General features: G+C 38.8%; 1 protein-coding gene and 1 pseudogene across 6 annotated transcripts in view; one reads left to right on the top strand and one right to left on the bottom strand.

Moving 5' to 3' along the window:
* MNAT1 (MNAT1 component of CDK activating kinase) overlaps positions 1 to 19,451 on the bottom strand; it is a 235,205-nt gene that overhangs the window by 39,915 nt on the left and 175,839 nt on the right. The gene's annotated exons all lie outside the window — the stretch shown is intronic.
* SRMP2 (SRM pseudogene 2) lies at positions 9,888 to 11,069 on the top strand (annotated as a pseudogene).

Raw genomic sequence — 19,451 nt, 5'->3', positions numbered from 1 at the left:
AGCCAGTTTTACTTTACCAAAGCATGTTATATTTTTCTGACCTCTGAATGCAAACAATTTGAGTTTAAAGAGTGAAATAAAATTAAGACCTTTTGGCATTAGAAGGTTAGGTGTTTGTTTGTTTTAGGTTGAAAGAGGGTGGTTCCTGTCAGAATGTTTCATGGCTTGGGAATCAGAGACCCTTCTAGATGTAAAACAGTAATAATAAATACTTATTTCAAAATTTAATTATAAATTGACAGGAAAGATATAAAATGTTTCCTCATAATTTTCTTATTTAAAATTAGAAATTCCTCAGAGTTAACAAACACTTCTGTCTAATGCTCACTATTATTATTACAGATAGGCTCACAGCTAAATGTGTAATTCAGGAAAAGAAAAGGCAATATTCCCCAGGTCAAGAAAACGTTCAGGACTCGATAATCAAAAAGCTTTGCTTATACTAGGAATTACTGGGGATAATAGGCAAAACACATGGTTTTAAAGGGAGTTCAGTGAGGAAAGAATATTCTTTTCAACAAATGGTACTGGGACCATTGGGTATCTCTGTGCAAAAATGATGAACTTGGACCTTTAGCCCACACCACATACAAAAATTAATTTAACATGGATCTGAGGCCCAAATGTAAGAGGTAATATTACAAAACTTTTACAGGAAAACATAAGAGGAAATCTTCTTGGCCTTTGGTTAGGCAAAAGTGTCTTAGATACAACACCAAAAGCATGATCCATAAAAGAAAAAATTGGTAAGCTGAATTTCATCAAAATTCAATGTGTTATACTTCAAGAAACATCATTAAAAAATAAAATAACAAACCACACTCTAGGAAAACATATTTACAAAATATAAATATACATATATATATATATATATATATATTTTTTTTTTTTTTTTTTTTTTTGGGAGATGGAGTCTCACTCTGTCACCCAGGCTGGAGTGCAGTGGCATGATCTCGCCTCACTGCAACCTCTGCCTCCCAGGTTCAAGTGATTCTCCTGCCTCAGCCTTCTGAGTAGCTGGGACTACAGGCACATGCGACCACACTGGCTAATTTTTTGTATTTTTAGTAGAGACGAGCTTTCACCGTGTTAGCCAGGATGGTCTTGATCTCCTGACCTCGTAATCTGTAATCTGCCCACCTAGGCCTCCCAAAATGCTGGGATTACAGGCATGAGCCACTGTGCCCAGCCACAGATTATATTTAATAAAATGCTGATATCCAGAATATATAAAGAATTATAAGATATATATATATGGCAAGTGCTTTGTAAAATGACATTCTTTTTTTAACTATTAATTTTTTTATTTAAAAAATCACATAATCAAAAAATAACTTTTTGTAACTTTATAATAAAACAAATGACCCAACTTTAAAATGAGTAAAAGATCTGAACAGACATCATACCAAAGAAGATATATGGATGGGTAATAAACACATAAAAAGAAGCTCAATATCATTAACCATGAGGGAAAGACAAATTAATGAGATACCAATTTTTACTCGCAACAATGGTTATAATCAAAATGACAATAATAAACATTGCTGAGGATGTGGAAAATGGAAACCCTCATGCCAGTAGGAATGTAAAATGTACAGCCACTTTATAAAACAGTTTGGCAGCTTCTGAAAAGTTAAATACAAATTTGTTACATGATCCAGCATTCATTCCTAAGTATATATCCAAGATATATGAAAACATACATGCAAACAGTATGAATATTTATAGCAGCATTATTAATGGTGTCCAAAAAGTGGCAATAATCAAAAAGTCCATCAACTGATGAATGGATAAGCAAATAGATAACGTGTAGTATATCCATTCAATGGAGTATTATTCAGCAATAAAAAGAAATGAAACATGGATATATATACTACAATATGAACCTCAGAAACATGAAAGAAACCAGACACAAAAACCACATACTTATGATTCCATTTGTATCACATGTCTAGAATAGGCAAGTCTGTGGAGACAAAAAAGAGCTAAGTGGTTGCCCAAGTCTGGTGATGGGAAAGGGGGCTAACTATAAACTAACATGATGGATCTTTTGGGGTTGTCGAAGGTTCTAAAACTGGACTGTAGTCAGGTTTGGTACAAAATAAAATGCAGGCACTTTGTTTAAAAAGCAGGAAAACATTTTTTTCCTTTCTTCTAGGGTCTCTCTCTTGACCTGTTATGGTACTTTATTTGCTATTTAATGCTGTATCCCTCAGTCATGAGATACTCATTGGGTAAATGCAGACCCTCAGAGGCACACAAGGCACATACATCCAGTCCTGACCTTCCCTGTGTCCACAGCCTCACCGTGGGTAGAGGCAGCAACAATGAGCAGAAACAGAAAGAAGGTGGTCGAAAACATGTCTCAAGGTGGGAAGAATACGTGGTTCAAAGCCCCTAGAGCATGTTCAATTGTCCCATCAGACTTTACTTACAAAACGATAAATCTAAACATAAAATTATTAAGAATTCAAGATGACAACCACAGAGTATTAAACTCCAAGTACAGGGCACCCTTGTGAATTCAGGGCTCCTTTCTGGGCATGGGGCCCTGTGAGACTGTACTGGTTACACATACATGAAGTTGGCCCTGATTGTAGTGATGGTTGTACAACTTGGTAAATTTACCAAAAATCACTGAATCATATATTTAAAATGCGTTACCTTTGTGGTATGTAAATTTTACTTCAATAAAGTTTTTAAAAGTAGCTTTAAGTCTTTGGTAGTAGCACACTAAAATTAACGAAATTGGGTAGAGCATCATAGACTCTGCATGTCTACCCTTTGTCTTGAGTCTAAACCTCAAACAGTATCCCAGGCTGAGTGCCTTTTACAGGGCCAAATAAGCAATAGGTCCCAAAGGATGACCTCTGATAAAGGAGATGTATCTCAAGAAGGCCCACATCAAGTCAGAAGATATAGTTTTCCTTTTGAACATGTAAATTAACTTTGAAATAATAAGAACCATACATATTGGTCTTTGCCCACAGTCCCTGGCACAGGGCTAATAAACTTATAGATAGGGTGGCAAGGAGAATCTTTTGTTCTAATATTTGGTCTTTGACTCCATTTCTTGACACAGAGCTCCTAAATGCCTTAGAATTTCCTGGGTAATAGGAGCATCTTTTGTTTGAAGGAAGCAAATCTTATGGGTTCCTGAATGGCCTCAGGATGGGGTTGGTTCACAAGGGGAACCAACCATGCAGTTAGCAGGCTGGAACTTCTAGCCTCACCCTCTGACCTCTAGGGAAGGGAGGAGGCTGAAGGTTGAGTTAATCACCAATGGCCAATGATATAATCAACAGAGCCTACATAATTAAGCCTTCATAAAAATCCAAAATGACAGAGTTGGGATGAGCTTCTGCACAGCTGAACTTGTGGAGATCCGTGGCGGGTGCGTGGCATGTCAGAGGGCATGGAAGCTCTGTGCTCCCCAACTATGCACCTCTTCCATCTGGCTGTTCACGTATATCCTCTGTAATATCCCTTATAATAGTTGGATAAACATAAGTAAAGTGTTTCCCTGAGTTCTGTGAGCCGCCCTAGCAAATTAATCAAAACTGACGAATGGTCTGTGGGAACCCCCAATTTATATCTGGTTTGGTCGGAAGTATAGGTAAGAACCTACTACTGGTGACTGGCATCTGAAGTGGAGGGCAGTCTTATGGGACTGAGCCCTTAACCTGTGGTATATGATACTATCTTCAGATAGACAGTGTCAGAACAGAACTGAATTAGAGGACGCCCAGTTGGTGTCTACTGGACTGGAGAACTGCTTTGGTTGGTGTGTGGGGGGAAAACCCCACAACACCTGTCGTCAGAAGTATTGACTGTGGTGTGTGAGAGTAGGAAGCGCATTTTGTTTTTTTCATATCTCTTTCAACAACTCTTTGTGGGTAGAATAAGGGTGATTTCTGAGGTAATGAGTTTACCTCATAACTGGAGAAGACCTTTTAACTACTAGGGATTTCTAACCAGAGAGTAGGGCCAAATGAACAGTATTGTGATGAAAGTCCACAATCATGACTGAATTTCCATCAAAAGATCTCCTCTTACACTGAGCAATTCTATGTGCTAAAGTGCTTCTGACTGACCTACTCTATGATCCAGAGTTCTATAACATTACTCTGGCATTTCTGTGATAACATAATTTTTCTTGAAAGATCTTATATTCTGCCAAATGTGAACTTAAAAGTTAGAAGTGAAATCGGGGACAGTCCACACAAAATCTACAATATAAATCTCAAAAACATGAAAGAAGCCAGACATGAAAGATAACATAACCAGGGACCCAACAAAAACATTAATTATTCCTCCAAAAAGTATTAACACAGTTGATTTTTTAAAGCTTGGTTAAGTTCCAAATAAACAGATGATACAGTAAATATAGGTTTTATAAGAAACGTAAGAAAAAAGTGAATGTAACCTGATGGAAGGAAGTGTAAGGAAGGGATAAGGTTGCTAAGTTATAAAAACAAGCAAAATGAGCAAAACTTGGGAAGAATTCCACAAGTAGCACTTCCAAGACAGGATGCATGGCAAAACTAAGCCAAAAGGAAGAACATGGTATAACTAGACATCCTGTACAGCACTCTCTTTACTCCTCTGTGGCTTCATGCATCCCATTGTGTTTTTGTTTCCATATACAGTCATCCCTTAGCATCTGTGGGGGATTGCTTCCAGAACCCCACCCCCAGGATACCAAAATCTGCAGATGCTTAAGTCCCTTATATAAAATGGCACTGTATTTCCATATAACCTGTGCATATCTTCTCATATACTTTATTTATTTAATTTATTTTTCACCCCCCTGGACACCAGGGAGCATATACTTGGTTAGTTATAATACCTAATACAACGTATTATAAATGCTATGTAAATAGGTGTTGTCGTGTATTGTTTAGGGAATAATGACAAGAAAAAAGTCTGTACACATTCAATGTAGGCCCAACTATTGTTTTTCTCCCCAAATACTTTCAATTTGCCGTTAGTTGAATCTATGGATGTGGACCCATGAATGGACAGCCAACTGTATCTGAGTTCAGCTGCTATTATTAATTAACAATGTAACATATTTACTTACTGGGAAAAATCATGTGCAAACAAAATAGCTTCTACAATATGGAATCTACATTATACAGATATCATTCCACTATTTACCATTCATGTGTGAGCTAATTCATGTTATAAATATGCGTTCTAGAAATAGGCAATGCAACAGGACAGACTGAATTTGATCTAGTACCTACTTTTAATATGTTTCCAAGTTGTCAGCTTTTGCCCTCACTCACCCATTCCCTGCCTTGCTTTACCCAACATCCCCAATGTTGGACACCTTTCAGTGACCTCATCTGTGGAGCTGTCTTTCAGAGTAGTTTTCTCTGTATGGGTTTAGTATTTTATTTTGAGAGTCAGGGAGGGTGATGTTATTTGTGTAGCTAGTTTTACAGTACAGAAGAAAGATTTCACATACATATTATTGTTTCTCCATTTTAAAAGTAGATGAATAAATATTTCATTTCTCTTTTTCAAATTAAAAACCACTGTCTCAATTTATTTTTTCTTATTATAGCTCTAAATAGAAAAAAAAATGCTTCCCCACCTTAATCTATATCACAGTTTTGCTATTTTCAAGGCATGGAGTACAGTTTTTTTTTTTTTTTTTTTAAACAGGCACTGAATTTGAAAAGCTCTTTAATACTAGCACAAACTTAGTAATATAAATTCTGGGGTGAATTATAAACTTTACATGTATGTGACATATCAATAAACTGTATTGCAAATATCCCCCAAAGCAAACAAACAAACAAAAAACAGGCTATTATTACTCTCTACCAGTTTCATTACAGTTACAAAGACTGCCATAAATGTTTTTTATTTACAAACATCTACTGGTCTCAGAAGTTTTCATCACTAAAAAAATTAGACTATTTGAAACAGAGGTAAAATGCTTGTTTTCTGAAACAAACTTTTTGTTTTACTTTTTAAACTTCTTCTGCCTCCTTTAAAGTGGCAGTCATAATATTCATTAGTGTTCAAGTGCCAGGGATGTTAAGTCACTTACACCTCAAATGGGCCTTATAAATATATCTACTGTTTTTATCTTGTTTTGTTTTGTTTTAAGACAGTCTCGCTCTGTCATCCAGGTTGGAGTGCAGTCCTGGGTTCTCAGCCTGCAGAGTAGCTGGGATTACAGATGCACACCACCACACCTGGCTAATTTTTTTTATTTTTTGTGGAAACAAGGTTCCACCATATTGCCCAAGCTGGTCTCAAACTCCTGGCCTCAAGTAATCCGCCTGCCTCAGCCTCTCAAAGTACTGGGATTACAGGCGTGAGCCACCGTGCCATGCCATGTCCATCCGTTAATCCAGGGATTTTTTGCTAATGAAATAATTAGAAGATCACATAAAAATTTAGCAAGATTCTATTTATAAAAACAACAAATGAAAACTGACCTAAATGTCTAATTGAAGACTGGTTAAATAAATTATGTTATGAAATACTGTAAATGATGCAATGGATAAACATGTATCATTTAAAGTATTAATGTAAAGTATAAAATGTAAAGATAAGATATAGTAGGTTAAGACAGGTAGCAAATGTAACAGAAGCATTTTTGTTAAATATGTATAATAACAAAAATATGCAATATAACAAAAAAGGTCTAGAAGGCTATTAACGAAGATTAAGCTAGTGGTTCTCAAAGTATAGTCCTTAACCATCAGCATCAGCATTACTTAGGAACTTGTTGGAAATGAAATTCTGGGGTCTCACTCTAGCCCTACTGAATCACAAACTCTGAAGGTGCGGCCCAGCAATCTTTGTTTTAGAAAACCCTCTAGGTGATTCTGATATATGGTTTGAGACCACTACTCTAGGTCCTCTATTGGGAATCAGGATCCCTTTGAGACAGGAATAAAAACCATAAACTTTATTCCAGGAAAGTGTACATTTGAACAAATGCTCAATTTTATTCACAAATATGGGAAAGAAAGTATCTATGGTAGTAAAGTACCATTCCCAAGTAGAATGTATCTACTGAGCCCTAGGACTCTTCACCTACAACAAAATAACAGATACTTACTGCATATAAGTTGCCAAAATTAAATCACAAAAAAATGAAAGCAAACTGTGAATCAAACCTTCAAGTCTGGTATACTAATATTTCTTCCAGTTTGTCTTTATAAACTTTCTCAGATTCCAAGACTGACACAAAATCTCCTGGGTTTAACTTTCCAAATTTCTGAACTACTGAGTTTATACGTTGAACTTGTGGCCTTGGCAATGGAGAAATCTTACTTGATCACTATTCCATTTGACTAACAATCTGTATTTCCTAGCCTTAAGAGAAAAACTTGAAAGTTTTTTTTTTCTTTTTGTCCCCTCTCCCTCCCCTAGAAGTTTTAAGAAATTTATTTCAGAAACATCAAACCCTGTAGAGATCCCTGATTTCCTTACAGCTTATAGTAAGAACCAAGATCAATCTACAGAGACCTCAAGTTAAAGCTTCAAAGAAAACAAAAGGCCAAAAAATAAAAGATTTAACTACAACATTGGTAATCATCTCCTAATTTTATTGTTCCAAATCAATTTCAGATTTCTGTGGTAACATATGCATCTCTATAATAAATTTTAACCGAATAAAAATGTTAATGTTACTCTAAGAAAAGTATCCCAATTCTTTTTTAAAAACACTATATGCACACCTGCTATTCTCCTATCCATCCAAGCAGGAAACCATTTCTCCTTTACATCATGAGCAATAGAAAACTACTTATTAAAACATTAATCATAGTCCATTATATTCTGACTCACTGCCAAAAGTTCCCATTACATCACTGAAAATATCTATTAACCAAAACCTGCTTCTGACAAGTTACAGGAGTGTTTAAAATTTAGTAATGTAAAAGTCAGTTTAAAAAGAACAGTTACACAATTGATTTTGCAGTGGCAGCAAAAATAATTACTTTTTTTCCGACATTTATTACCAAAAGGGTGATTTAACTGGTGTTTCTACTGTAAAATTATTCAAAAATTATTTCAAACTTCACCTAGTGTTATTAAACAAATTTACTATGAAAGTATTAAACCAATGACTGAAAAGTGAAATTAAAGAATTTTAAAATGTGCTGAATACAACACTGTATGTAAAACTATATTGAGTTGTGTAAATATGGGTCTTGTTTAGAGCCATGTCTCACAGGAAATTGTAGCAAATGAAAACCATCCCCATTTTCCATTCCTGTTCTTTAGGATTTATGTTTTTACATTTAAAACCAGTTATAAAGAGAAACAAAAAACCATGGCAACATTACCTTCACGTCAGAATAATGACTACTTTGGGCATTCTGATCGTGTTAAAATAATTTAATATTATTAGAAACAAAGTTTAAATATATTTTTATTTTGTACCAACAGAACCAACTATCTAGTTTTCATCTGCTGAACTGTTTGGGGAGTAGTAACAGTGGCTTCCTAACTTAAGACAGTGCCACTCCAAAGCAGGAGGAAGAGAGGTGACATTTAATAAAGTGCCAAGAAAAAAAGCATAGGGGTGATGGGTTTATATTTCCTAAGAACAGAGACCACTTATGGCTTATGATTTTCTATATTATAAAAATCAATAACTCAACAGTAGAAACATGGTAATTTTTCTTCTGTTTGCTTATATTTTCAAAATTTTTCTATAATGAACATATATTACTTTTACAATGGGGAATACCCAATGAATTTATTTATTTTAACAGATACATGTGACTCCAAGATAACTGGGAGAGACCTCAAGAGAAAACGCTAACATGTCTTAATACATTATATTGTATGAATTCTCCTTCAAATTTAAATTATCATAATCTCTATTTCTGAAAATAGGAGTGAATGACAATCTCCAACAGTTTATGTAACATCTAATATTTCTTAGGTTTATGTTTTCCTTATTGTATTGTTTCCTACGTTTAATTTAGCTAGAAAATTCATGGTAGAAGGACTTAGAGAAATTAAAAGCATGAATTATATCTCAGTTAATAAGGAGACAGAAGAAGAAGAGAGACTTAGGTTACAATCATAGAACATGATAACGATAAATTACCAGAGTACTTTAACCCAAAAGCCAACATGTTTTACATTTGAAAGGTTGAAAGAGTCACCAAGCTATACATGTCTAATAATTTCCTAACAACTCAATCTCCTGATTGTTTTTCCTTTTAAAAACAAAAATTAGTCTCTCTAAATAGAAATACAATTTCTACAAACTTAATGAAAATAAAGTCATCTCTACTTGAAAGTAGTTCTTAAGAGAATATAAGGCGAGGCGTCGTGGCTCAATGCCTGTAATTCCAGCACTTTGGGAGGCTGAGGCAGGTGGATCACTTGAGGTCAGGAGTTCGAGACCAACCTGGCCAACATGGTGAAACCCTGTCTCTACTAAAAATACAAAAAAATTAACTGGGCACAGTGGTGGGCCTGTAATGATTACAGGTGGGCACCTGTAATCCCAGCTACTCAGGAGGCTGAGGCAGGAGAATTGCTTGCACCCAGGAGGCAGAGGTTGCAGTGAGACGAAATCGCGCCACTGCACTCCAGCCTGGGCGACGGAGCGAGACTGTCCCAAAAAAAATCAAGATTTTTCTGTTTTCAATCCATAATGGAAAGGAAAAAAAAGACAAAGACATTTCATTATTATTAGGTGAATATAAGGTGGATCATAAGAGTGTAAAGATGCAGAAAGTAGCCCTCTAGACACTAATTGTGATGATAAAAATAATCATGTAAGTAAAATCTCAGATAATGATAGCCTAGATTAATCTTTTCAAAGTTTTTTTTTTAATCTCCCCAAACTCTATTGGTGGGCTTGGGCTCTGCTGGTCCCACAGTGCTGTGGATCACCTGCCATGAAGCCCAGCCCCAATGGCCGCCCCCAGCCTCTGGCCCCACTGCCATTTATAGGACTGATTCTGCAAGACATGCAGTCTGTGGCCCACCCATGCCTTGTCACTGCAGGTGGAGCAGCTGCCCCCGACCAGTGCTCACAGTACTAGGATACCTTTGTCATCTGCAGTAAGACCTATGGCAACATGATGGCGTTGGATGGCATCATCCAGTATACAGAGAGGAACAAGTTCTCCTACCAGGAGATTATAGTCAACCTGCCTCTCTGCAGCCACCCCAACCTACAAATGGCGGTGATTATTGAGGACAGGAACAAGGGCATCCTGTGCAAGGTGAGGTAGTACCCCTCTGTGAAGTCTATGGTCCAATGTGAGAATGATAAGGATGTCATCCAAGTCTCTCAGAAGTTCCTGCCAGGCAAAGCTGTTGGCTACTTTTGCTCAAAGCTGAACTTACACATGGGTGATGGGTTTGAATTCATGAAACAGAATTAGGATGCCTTCAGTGTTATCAATGACTCCTCAGACCCCACTGCCTTGCTAAAAACCTCTTCAAGGAATCCTACTACCAGTTCATGAAGACAGTCCTCAGGAGGGCAGCCCTAAAGAAGCATGGCATTCTCTGCTGCCCAGGTGACTGCCAGTGGCTGTACCTGGACCTCACCAAAAAGACGCAGCAATTCTGCATGCCACTCTTTCCCATGGTGGGCTGCACCTACTGCACCATCCCCACCTACCGCAGTGGCCAGATTAGCTTCATGATGTGCAGCAAAACCCAAGCACCAAGTTCTGGGAGTCCGTGCGACAGCTGACACAGAAGCTGGTGGAACATACATAACTGAAATACTATAAATCAGATGTGCACGAGGCAGCCTTTCTGCCACCCAAATTTGCCCACAAGACCCTGAGTGATCTGAGCTGAGCCCAGGTGCTGCTGCAGATGCCAACCAGGACGTTGGACCAGGGAGCCTCCAGGGTTCCTGGTCCTCTCCAGCTCTGAGCCAGACCTCTTGCCGGCTCTGGCACACCAACCAACTGTCCAAGTCCCAGAATGCTGCCTGGCTGACATGCTGAGCAGACTGTCTGTGTGTCTGTCTCTCTCGGTGTGTAGCATTCAGCCTCCAACCCTATATCAGCTGTGTATAGCACCATCTCTCTGCCTTCTCTTGCCCCTTCACTTGGTTAGTTTCACCTAACATGTAACTAAACAACAAAACAAAAAACTTCCCAAACTCAAAAATCTATGAGTTACCAATATATTGTGCACAATTCAATGATTTTTAGTAAATTTACATCATTAAGCAATCATCACCACAACCCAATTTCAGAACATTTTCATCACTTCAAAGCAGATCCCTCATGCCCATTTGCAGTCACTCAAGTATGTATTTTTAAGGACAAAAATATATATATATATATATATATTCTCATCTGGATAGTCATTAAACAAGATAGATTTCATTCCACAATAATTTGGAACAAGAACCTTGACCATCCATTTTGCTAAAAGTACGTGTGTCAACATCCTTTCATCTTTTATGATGTTTGTGCACCATAATTTAGTTGATACATTTTTTAAGTGTATAAATGATATTGGCAAGTGTCCACATAAAGGTATTTGGAAGGGAGAAAATCATGTAAAAATGAACAATTGGCCGGGCACTGTGGCTCATGCCTCTAATCCCACCACTTTGGGAGGCCGAGGTGGGTGGATCACGAGGTCAGGAGATCGAGACCAACCTGGCTAAAACGGTGAAACCCCGTCTCTACTAAAAATACAAAAAATTAGCCCGGTATGGTTGCGGGCGCCTGTAGTCCCAGCTACTCAGGAGGCTGAGGCAGGAGAATGGCGTGAACCCGGGAGGCAGAGCTTGCAGTGAGCCAAGATCGCACCACTGCACTCCAGCCTGGGCGACAGACCGAGACTCCATCTCAAAAAAAAAAAAAAAAAAAAAAAAAAAAGAACAATTAATTGGATTGATCCTTCTAACTGGTGTTCACAAATCTAAAAGTGAGAATCTTTTGCAATTATGGAATAAAAAAGATGGTGGTCCTCTTTTCAACCAAATTACAAGCCATCAAAGTTTTCAAAGGTTTTAAATTTTGATCAAGCAAAGACAAAAAGAGTAAGAGATAATGATAAGCTTAAACCTGCTGATGTATTTGAAAGCCTGAATCCAAATTGAATTTTGATGATACAAATGCAAGTGGAACCAGAAGAAGTAACAAGCTCAGCCAGACACGGTGTCTCACGCCTATAATCCCAGCACTTTGGGAGGCCAAAGCGGGTAGATTACTTGAGGTCAGGAGTTCAAGACCAGCCTGGCCAACATGGTGAAACTCCGTCCGTCTCTATTAAAAATACAAAAAGTTAGCCGGGTGTGGTGGCACACACCTGTAATCCCAGCTACTTGGAAGGCTGAGGCAGAAGAATCACTTGAACCCGGGAGGTGGAGGTTGCAGTGAGCCGAGATCACGCCACTCCACTCCAGCCTGGGCAAAAAAGTGAGACTCCATAAAAAAAAAAACAAAAAAGAAACAAAAAAAAAACAAAACTCAAATCTATTAGAGATGTATTTGAAATATGGATTCAACATATACAAGTTGCATATGTCCCATGTTCATGTGTGACCACTGATGAGTGGTTAGTTGCATTCGAAGGGCACTGCCAATTTTGAGTACAGACACCATCTAAACCAAGAATATATGGAATAAAAATTTGATTGCGCTATATTTAAATCTGTTAAATTTTCTAATAAAATTGTTTTATACACTGCTTATTCATAAAAACAATGTAAAATTATTTAATAAAGGGGTTCATTGGACCTAGATAATAAATAGGAATGACTATTTTTTCCTGGTAAAATGAGGGTTAGAAACTGAAAATTCCATGAAGCATTACAATACTGTACCTACCCTAAGAAAGAAGTTAGAGGACCTCTCCATTTGCCTGAGGCTACGCCAACCTCTGCTCATACATAATTTCCCTTAGACCTTAAAAGTATGTTCCCTAAACTTTAGAAACAATTTGAGCGGTGACTTCTTCTATGTGTTTAGGGCAGCATTTCTCAAACTTTTCTTACCATAATTAACAGTATACTTTACATAAAAACCCACTACAAGTGGGTTTTACAAAAGTTTTAAAAGCCAATGCTTACAGGTTATTTTTTGTTTTTATTTTTGTTTTTTAATTTTTTTAAATTTTTTGGAGACAGAGTCTTGCTCTGTCACACAGGCTGGAATGCAGTGGCAGGATTTCAGCTCACTGCAACCCCCGCCTCCCAGGTCCAAGCAATTCTCGTGCCTCAGCCTCCTGACTAGTTGGGACTACTGGCATGCACAACCGCACCTGGCTAATTTTTTTATATTTTAGTAAAGACACAGTTTCACCACGTTGCCCAGTCTGATCTGGAACTCCTGAGTTCAGGCAGTTCGCCTGCCTCCGCCTCCCAAAGTGCTAGGATTACAGGCATAAGCCACTGCACCTGGCCTTTTTTAAATTTTTAGAGGCAGGGTCTCACTCTGTTACCCAGGCTGGAGTGCAGTGGTGTGATCTTGGCTCACTGCAGCCTCGAATTCCTAGGCTCAAGTGATCCTCCCACCTCAGCCTCCTGGGTAGCTGGGAACACAGATGCATGCCACCATCCCTGGCTAATTTTTACATTTTTTGTAAAGACGAGATCTTGTTATGTTGCCCAGACTGGTCTTAAACTCCTGGGCTCAAGCGATCCTTGTGCCTTGGCCTCCCAAAGTGCTGGGATTGCAGGCGTGAGCCATAGCACCTGGCCCAATGCTTACATTTATATAATGCCCTTGGTGAGTTTACTTTTTATTTTATTCTATTTTTAAAAATGTATATAACCTACAGTCTAAAAAACACTGATAATACAGCTCTTCAATATGTCATTTTTAAATGTTAAAGTTGAGGGTTAAGATGATAATGGATAAATTATTTGTAACAAATAAACAAAACCACCTTTCAAAGCAACAACAGTAGCAAGCTCATAAAACAGATGGAAGTGATAGAGCCAACATCAGGCTATAGATGTTAACTGTAACAAATGAGGGGATAAAGGCAACAACTAAGCCTTCCTAAGGAAGAAGACCTGCTTCATGGAAAAGTTACCACAGCGCTCCAAGAAATACCCTCCTGCTGTTGACTCAGTTGTAGGGAGATGAGAGCTGTCCAAATGTGTCTTGCAACTCCTCTCCCGCTCTGGTATGCAGAGCTGGGAACCGATGAATGCAGTAAACAGGACAGTAAGAATACTATTGCTTCTGACTCCTTTACTTTCTTTTTAAGTTAAGTTTGAGGTAAAATTCAAGGCATGAGATATGAAAGTTGACTGAATTTCACTTAAATCTAAAGACAGCTAACCATTCTTTGGCAGGATATTTTTAAAACATTTTAAAAGTACCAATTCCAAAAAATCTGATGCTAAACCCATCACAAATTAGCAAAGCAGCTACACTGCATGCCTTCAAACACAAGGACAGGAGAGACTAAGCTATTAATAAAACTACCAGGAAGTAACACCTACATTGGGTAAGGAGGCTGAAACAAAGCAAGAGGCAACAAATGGTGAGATTCTATTTTCTTTTCATATTCCGTAGCCCTAGATAGGGTAGATTTTAGGGTTTGATGAGGTGAACAAGGTGCTGATTAAAGCCAAAGGAAAAATGTGAAGAGACACCAAAAACATGGCAATCATTATGGGAAATCTAAGAAACACAATAAGTTTAAAATATGTGGCTCAGCTGAAAATAAGATTTTCATATTCACCATGAATATAGGGAAGATGACTCAATTTTCAAAACGTAATATAATTGCATTAAGAGATAATAGGGCAAGTGAAATAAGGGTAGAGAAGAGGTTTTAGATGGCTAAATCTTCATTTCTCATACTAGGAAGTCAAGAGACAGCTATAAAATTGGAAACCAAGGAACTGCAGTATGATGATGTTATTTAGAAATACAGAGGTAAATAGTAGAACAAAAAGCTAAGATTTAGAAGCTGGGCAGAGTAAAAAAAGTTACACTGAGACAAGCAGAATCCAGGAACAGCAATCTGCATTAAAAATTACCTGAAATAGCACCTTGCTCTCGGTCAAATAAAAAACAAACCTACATAGAATCAATCAGCATCTTCTCTCACCTTGAAATATTTCAGAATAATCAGCCAACGCTGGCTGGTCATCTAGTCCACATTTTGCCATCTTATTGGTAATTTTCCTTCCAAAAACATTATTCCCTTCAAAAATCCCTCATAAACTAAAATTTGATTTGCTACCCATGTTCACTCTGCTCTCCCAAAGTATAGCCATTTGATTCTAGCTTCAATAATCGCACTTCTTTTAACCTTCTATATAGGACCTATCTTGACCACTACTTAAGTTTGTGGATATCTTTTTTAAATCTCCCTAAGGCTCTATAGCCTACTTAAAATAATGTAACCAAATAGGATGTAGAATTTTTTATGACTAAATTAAGATAATTTGGTCAACACAGAAGCTACCTACAACACAGAAGTCCATCCCCAGAGTGGACTCTATTAGGCAGCTGCATACATAGCATATTAGACAGCCAGAACAGATTTTTTTTTTTACCATATCTGTGCCTCTACACAACTAAATTATTTTCTGTAATAACCATGAAATTAAAAATAACAATCCAGACACACCATTCAAAGCTGGGGAGCCAAGATGGCCGAATAGGAACAGCTCCAGTCTACAGCTCCCAGCGTGAGCAATGCAGAAGACAGGTGATTTCTGCATTTCCAACTGAGCTACCGGGTTCATCTCACAGGGAAGTGCCGGACAGTGGGTGCAGGACAGTGGGTGCAGTACACCGTGCTTGAGCCGAAGCAGGGCAAGGCATCGCCTCACCCGGGAAGCGCAAGGGGTCAGGGAATTCCCTTTCCTAGTCAAAGAAAGGGGTGACAGACGGCACCTGGAAAATTGGGTCACTCCCACCCTAATACTGCGCTCTTCCAACAGGCTTAACAAACGGCACACCAGGAGATTATATCCTGCACCAGGCTCGGAGGGTCCTACGCCCACAGAGCCTAGCTCATTGCTAGCACAGCAGTCTGAGATCAAACTGCAAGGCGGCAGCGAGGCTGGGGGAGGGGCACCTGCCATTGCTCAGGCTTGAGTAGGTAAACAAAGCAGCCAGGAAGCTCGAACTGCGTGGAGCCCACCACAGCTCAAGGAGGCCAGACTGCCTCTGTAGGCTCTACCTCTGGGGGCAGGGCACAGACAAACAAAAGAGCAATAACCTCTGCAGTCTTAAATGTCCCTGTCTGACAGCTTTGAAGAGAGTAGTGGTTCTTCCAGCACGCAGCTGGAGATCTGAACACCGACAGACTGCCTCCTCAAGAGGGTCCCTGACCCCAGAGTAGCCTAACTAGGAGGTACCCCCCAGTAGGGGCAGACTGACACCTCACACGGCTGGGTACTCCTCTGAGACAAAACTTCCAGAGGAATGATCAGGCAGCAGCATTTGCGGTTCACCAATATCCACTGTTCTGCAGCCTCCCCTGCTGATACCCAGGCAAACCGGGTCTGGAGTGGACCTCCAGTAAACTCCAACAGACCTGCAGCTGAGGGTCCTGACTGTTAGAAGGAAAACTAAAAAACAGAAAGGCCATCCACACCAAAAACCCATCTGGACGCCACCATCATCAAAGACCCAAGGTAGATAAAACCACAAAGATGGGGAAAACACAGAGCAGAAAAACTGGAAACTCTAAAAATCAGAGCGCCTCTCCTCCTCCAAAGGAATGCAGCTCCTCACCAGCAACGGAACAAAGCTGGATGGAGCATGACTTTGACGAGTTGAGAGAGGAAGGCTTCAGAAGATCAAACTACTCCGAGCTAAAGGAGGAAGTTCAAACCAATTGCAAAGAAGTTAAAAACTTTGAAAAAAAAATTAGACGAATGGACAACTAGAATAACCAATGCAGAGAAGTCCTTAAAGGAACTAATGGAGCTGAAAACCAAGGCAAAAGAACTACGTGATGAATGCACAAGCCTCAGTAACTGATGCGATCAACTGGAAGAAAGGGTATCAGCGGTGGAAGATGAAATGAATGAAATGAAGCGTGAAGAGAAGTTTAGAGAAAAAAGAATAAAAAGAAACAAACAAAGCCTCCAAGAAATATGTGACTATGTGAAAAGACCAAATGTACATCTAATTGGTGTACCTGAAAGTGACGGGGAGAATGGAACCAAGCTGGAAAACACTCTGCAGGATATTATCCAGGAGAACTTCCCCAATCTAGCAAGGCAGGCCAACATTCAAATTCAGGAAATACAGAGAACGCCACTAAGATACTCCTCGAGAAGAGCAACTCCAAGACACATAACTGTCAGATTCACCAAAGTTGAAATGAAGGAAAAAGTGTTAAGGGCAGCCAGAGAGAAAGGTCAGGTTACCCAAAAAGGGAAGCCCATCAGACTAACTAACAGCTGATCTCTTGGCAGAAACTCTACAAGCCAGAAGACAGTGGGGGCCAATATTCAACATTCTTAAAGAAAAGAATTTTCAACCCAGAATTTAATATCCAGCCAAACTAAGCTTCATAAGTGAAGGAGAAATAAAATCCTTTATAGACAAGCAAATGCTGAGAGATTTTGTCACCACCAGGCCTGCCCTACAAAAGCTCCTGAAGGAAGCACTAAACATGGAAAGGAACAACCGGTGCCAGCCACTGCAAAAACATGCCAATTTGTAAAGACTATCAAGGCTAGGAAGAAACTGCATCAACTAACGAGCAAAATAACCAGCTAACATCATAATGACAGGATCAAATTCACACATAACAATATTAACCTTAAATGTAAATGGGCTAAATGCTCCAATTAAAAGACACACACTGGCAAACTGGATAAAGAGTCAAGACCCATCAGTGTGCTGTATTCAGGAAACCCATCTCATGTGCACAGACACACATAGGCTCAAAATAAAGGGATGGAGGAAGATCTACCAAGCAAACGGAAAACAAAAAAAGGCAGGGGTTGCAATCCTAGTCTCTGATAAAACAGACTTTAAACCAACAAAGATCAAGAGAGACAAAGAAGGCCATTACATAATGGTAAAGGGATCAATTCAACAAGAAGAGCTAACTATCCTAAATATATATGCACCCAATACAGGAGCACCCAGATTCATAAAGCAAGTCCTTAGAGACCTAGAAAGAGACTTAGACTCCCACACAATAATAATGGGAGACTTTAACACCCCACTGTCAACATTAGACAGATCAACGAGACAGAAAGTTAACAAGGATATCCAGGAATTGAACTCAGCTCTGCACCAAGCGGACCTAATACACATCTACAGAACTCTCCACCCCAAATCACCAGAATATACATTCTTTTCAGCACCACACCACACCTATTCCAAAACTGACCACATAGTTGGAAGTAAAACACTCCTCAGCAAATGTAAAAGAACAAAAATTATAACAAACTGTCTCTCAGACCACAGTGCAGTCAAACTAGAACTCAGGATTAAGAAACTCACTCAAAACCACTCAACTACATGGAAACTGAACAACCTGCTCCTGAACTACTGGGTACACAATGAAATGAAGGCAGAAATAAAGATGTTCTTTGAAACCAACGAGAACAAAGACACAACATACCAGAATCTCTGGGACACATTCAAAGCAGTGTGTAGAGGGAACTTTATAGCACTAAGTGCCCACAAGAGAAAGGAGGAAAGATCTAAAATTGACACCCTAACAACAGAATTAAAAGAACTAGAGAAGCAAGAGCAAACACATTCAAAAGCTAGCAGAAGGCAAGACATAACTAAGTCAGAGCAGAACTGACGGAAATAGAGACACAAAAAACCCTTAAAAAAATCAATGAATCCAGGAGCTGGTTTTTTGAAAAGATCAACAAAATTGATAGACTGCTAGCAAGACTAATAAAGAAGAAAAGAGAGAAGAATCAAATAGACGCAATAAAAAATGACAAAGGGGATATCACCACCGATCCCACAGAAATACAAACTACCATCAGAGAATACTATAAACACCTCTACACAAATAAACTAGAAAATCTAGAAGAAATGGATAAATTCCTCGACACACACACCCTCCCAAGACTAAACCAGGAAGAAGTTGAATCTCTGAATAGACCAATAACAGGCTCAGAAATAGAGACAATAATTAAGAGTTTACCAATCAAAAAAAGTCCAGGACCAGATGGTTTCACAGCCGAATTTTACCAGAGGTACAAGGAGGAGCTGGTACCATTCCTTCTGAAACTATTCCAATCAATAGAAAAAGAGGGAATCCTCCCTAATGCATTGTATGAGGCCAGCATCATCCTGGTACCAAAGCCGGGCAGAGACACAACCAAAAAAGAGAATTTTAGACCAATATCCTTGAGAACATTGATGCAAAAATCCTCAATAAAATACTGGCAAACCAAATCCAGCAGCACATCAAAAAGTTTATCCACCATGATCAAGTGGACTTCATCCCTGGGATGCAAGGCTGGTTCAACATACACAAATCAATAATCATAATCCAGCATATTAACAGAACCA

Source organism: Homo sapiens, chromosome 14 (genome assembly GCF_000001405.40).
Source record: "Homo sapiens chromosome 14, GRCh38.p14 Primary Assembly".
In the NCBI taxonomy this organism is placed as follows: domain Eukaryota; kingdom Metazoa; phylum Chordata; class Mammalia; order Primates; family Hominidae; genus Homo; species Homo sapiens.
The sequence above is the reverse complement of the archived record's forward strand: the minus strand, read 5'-3'. Positions and strand labels throughout refer to the sequence as shown.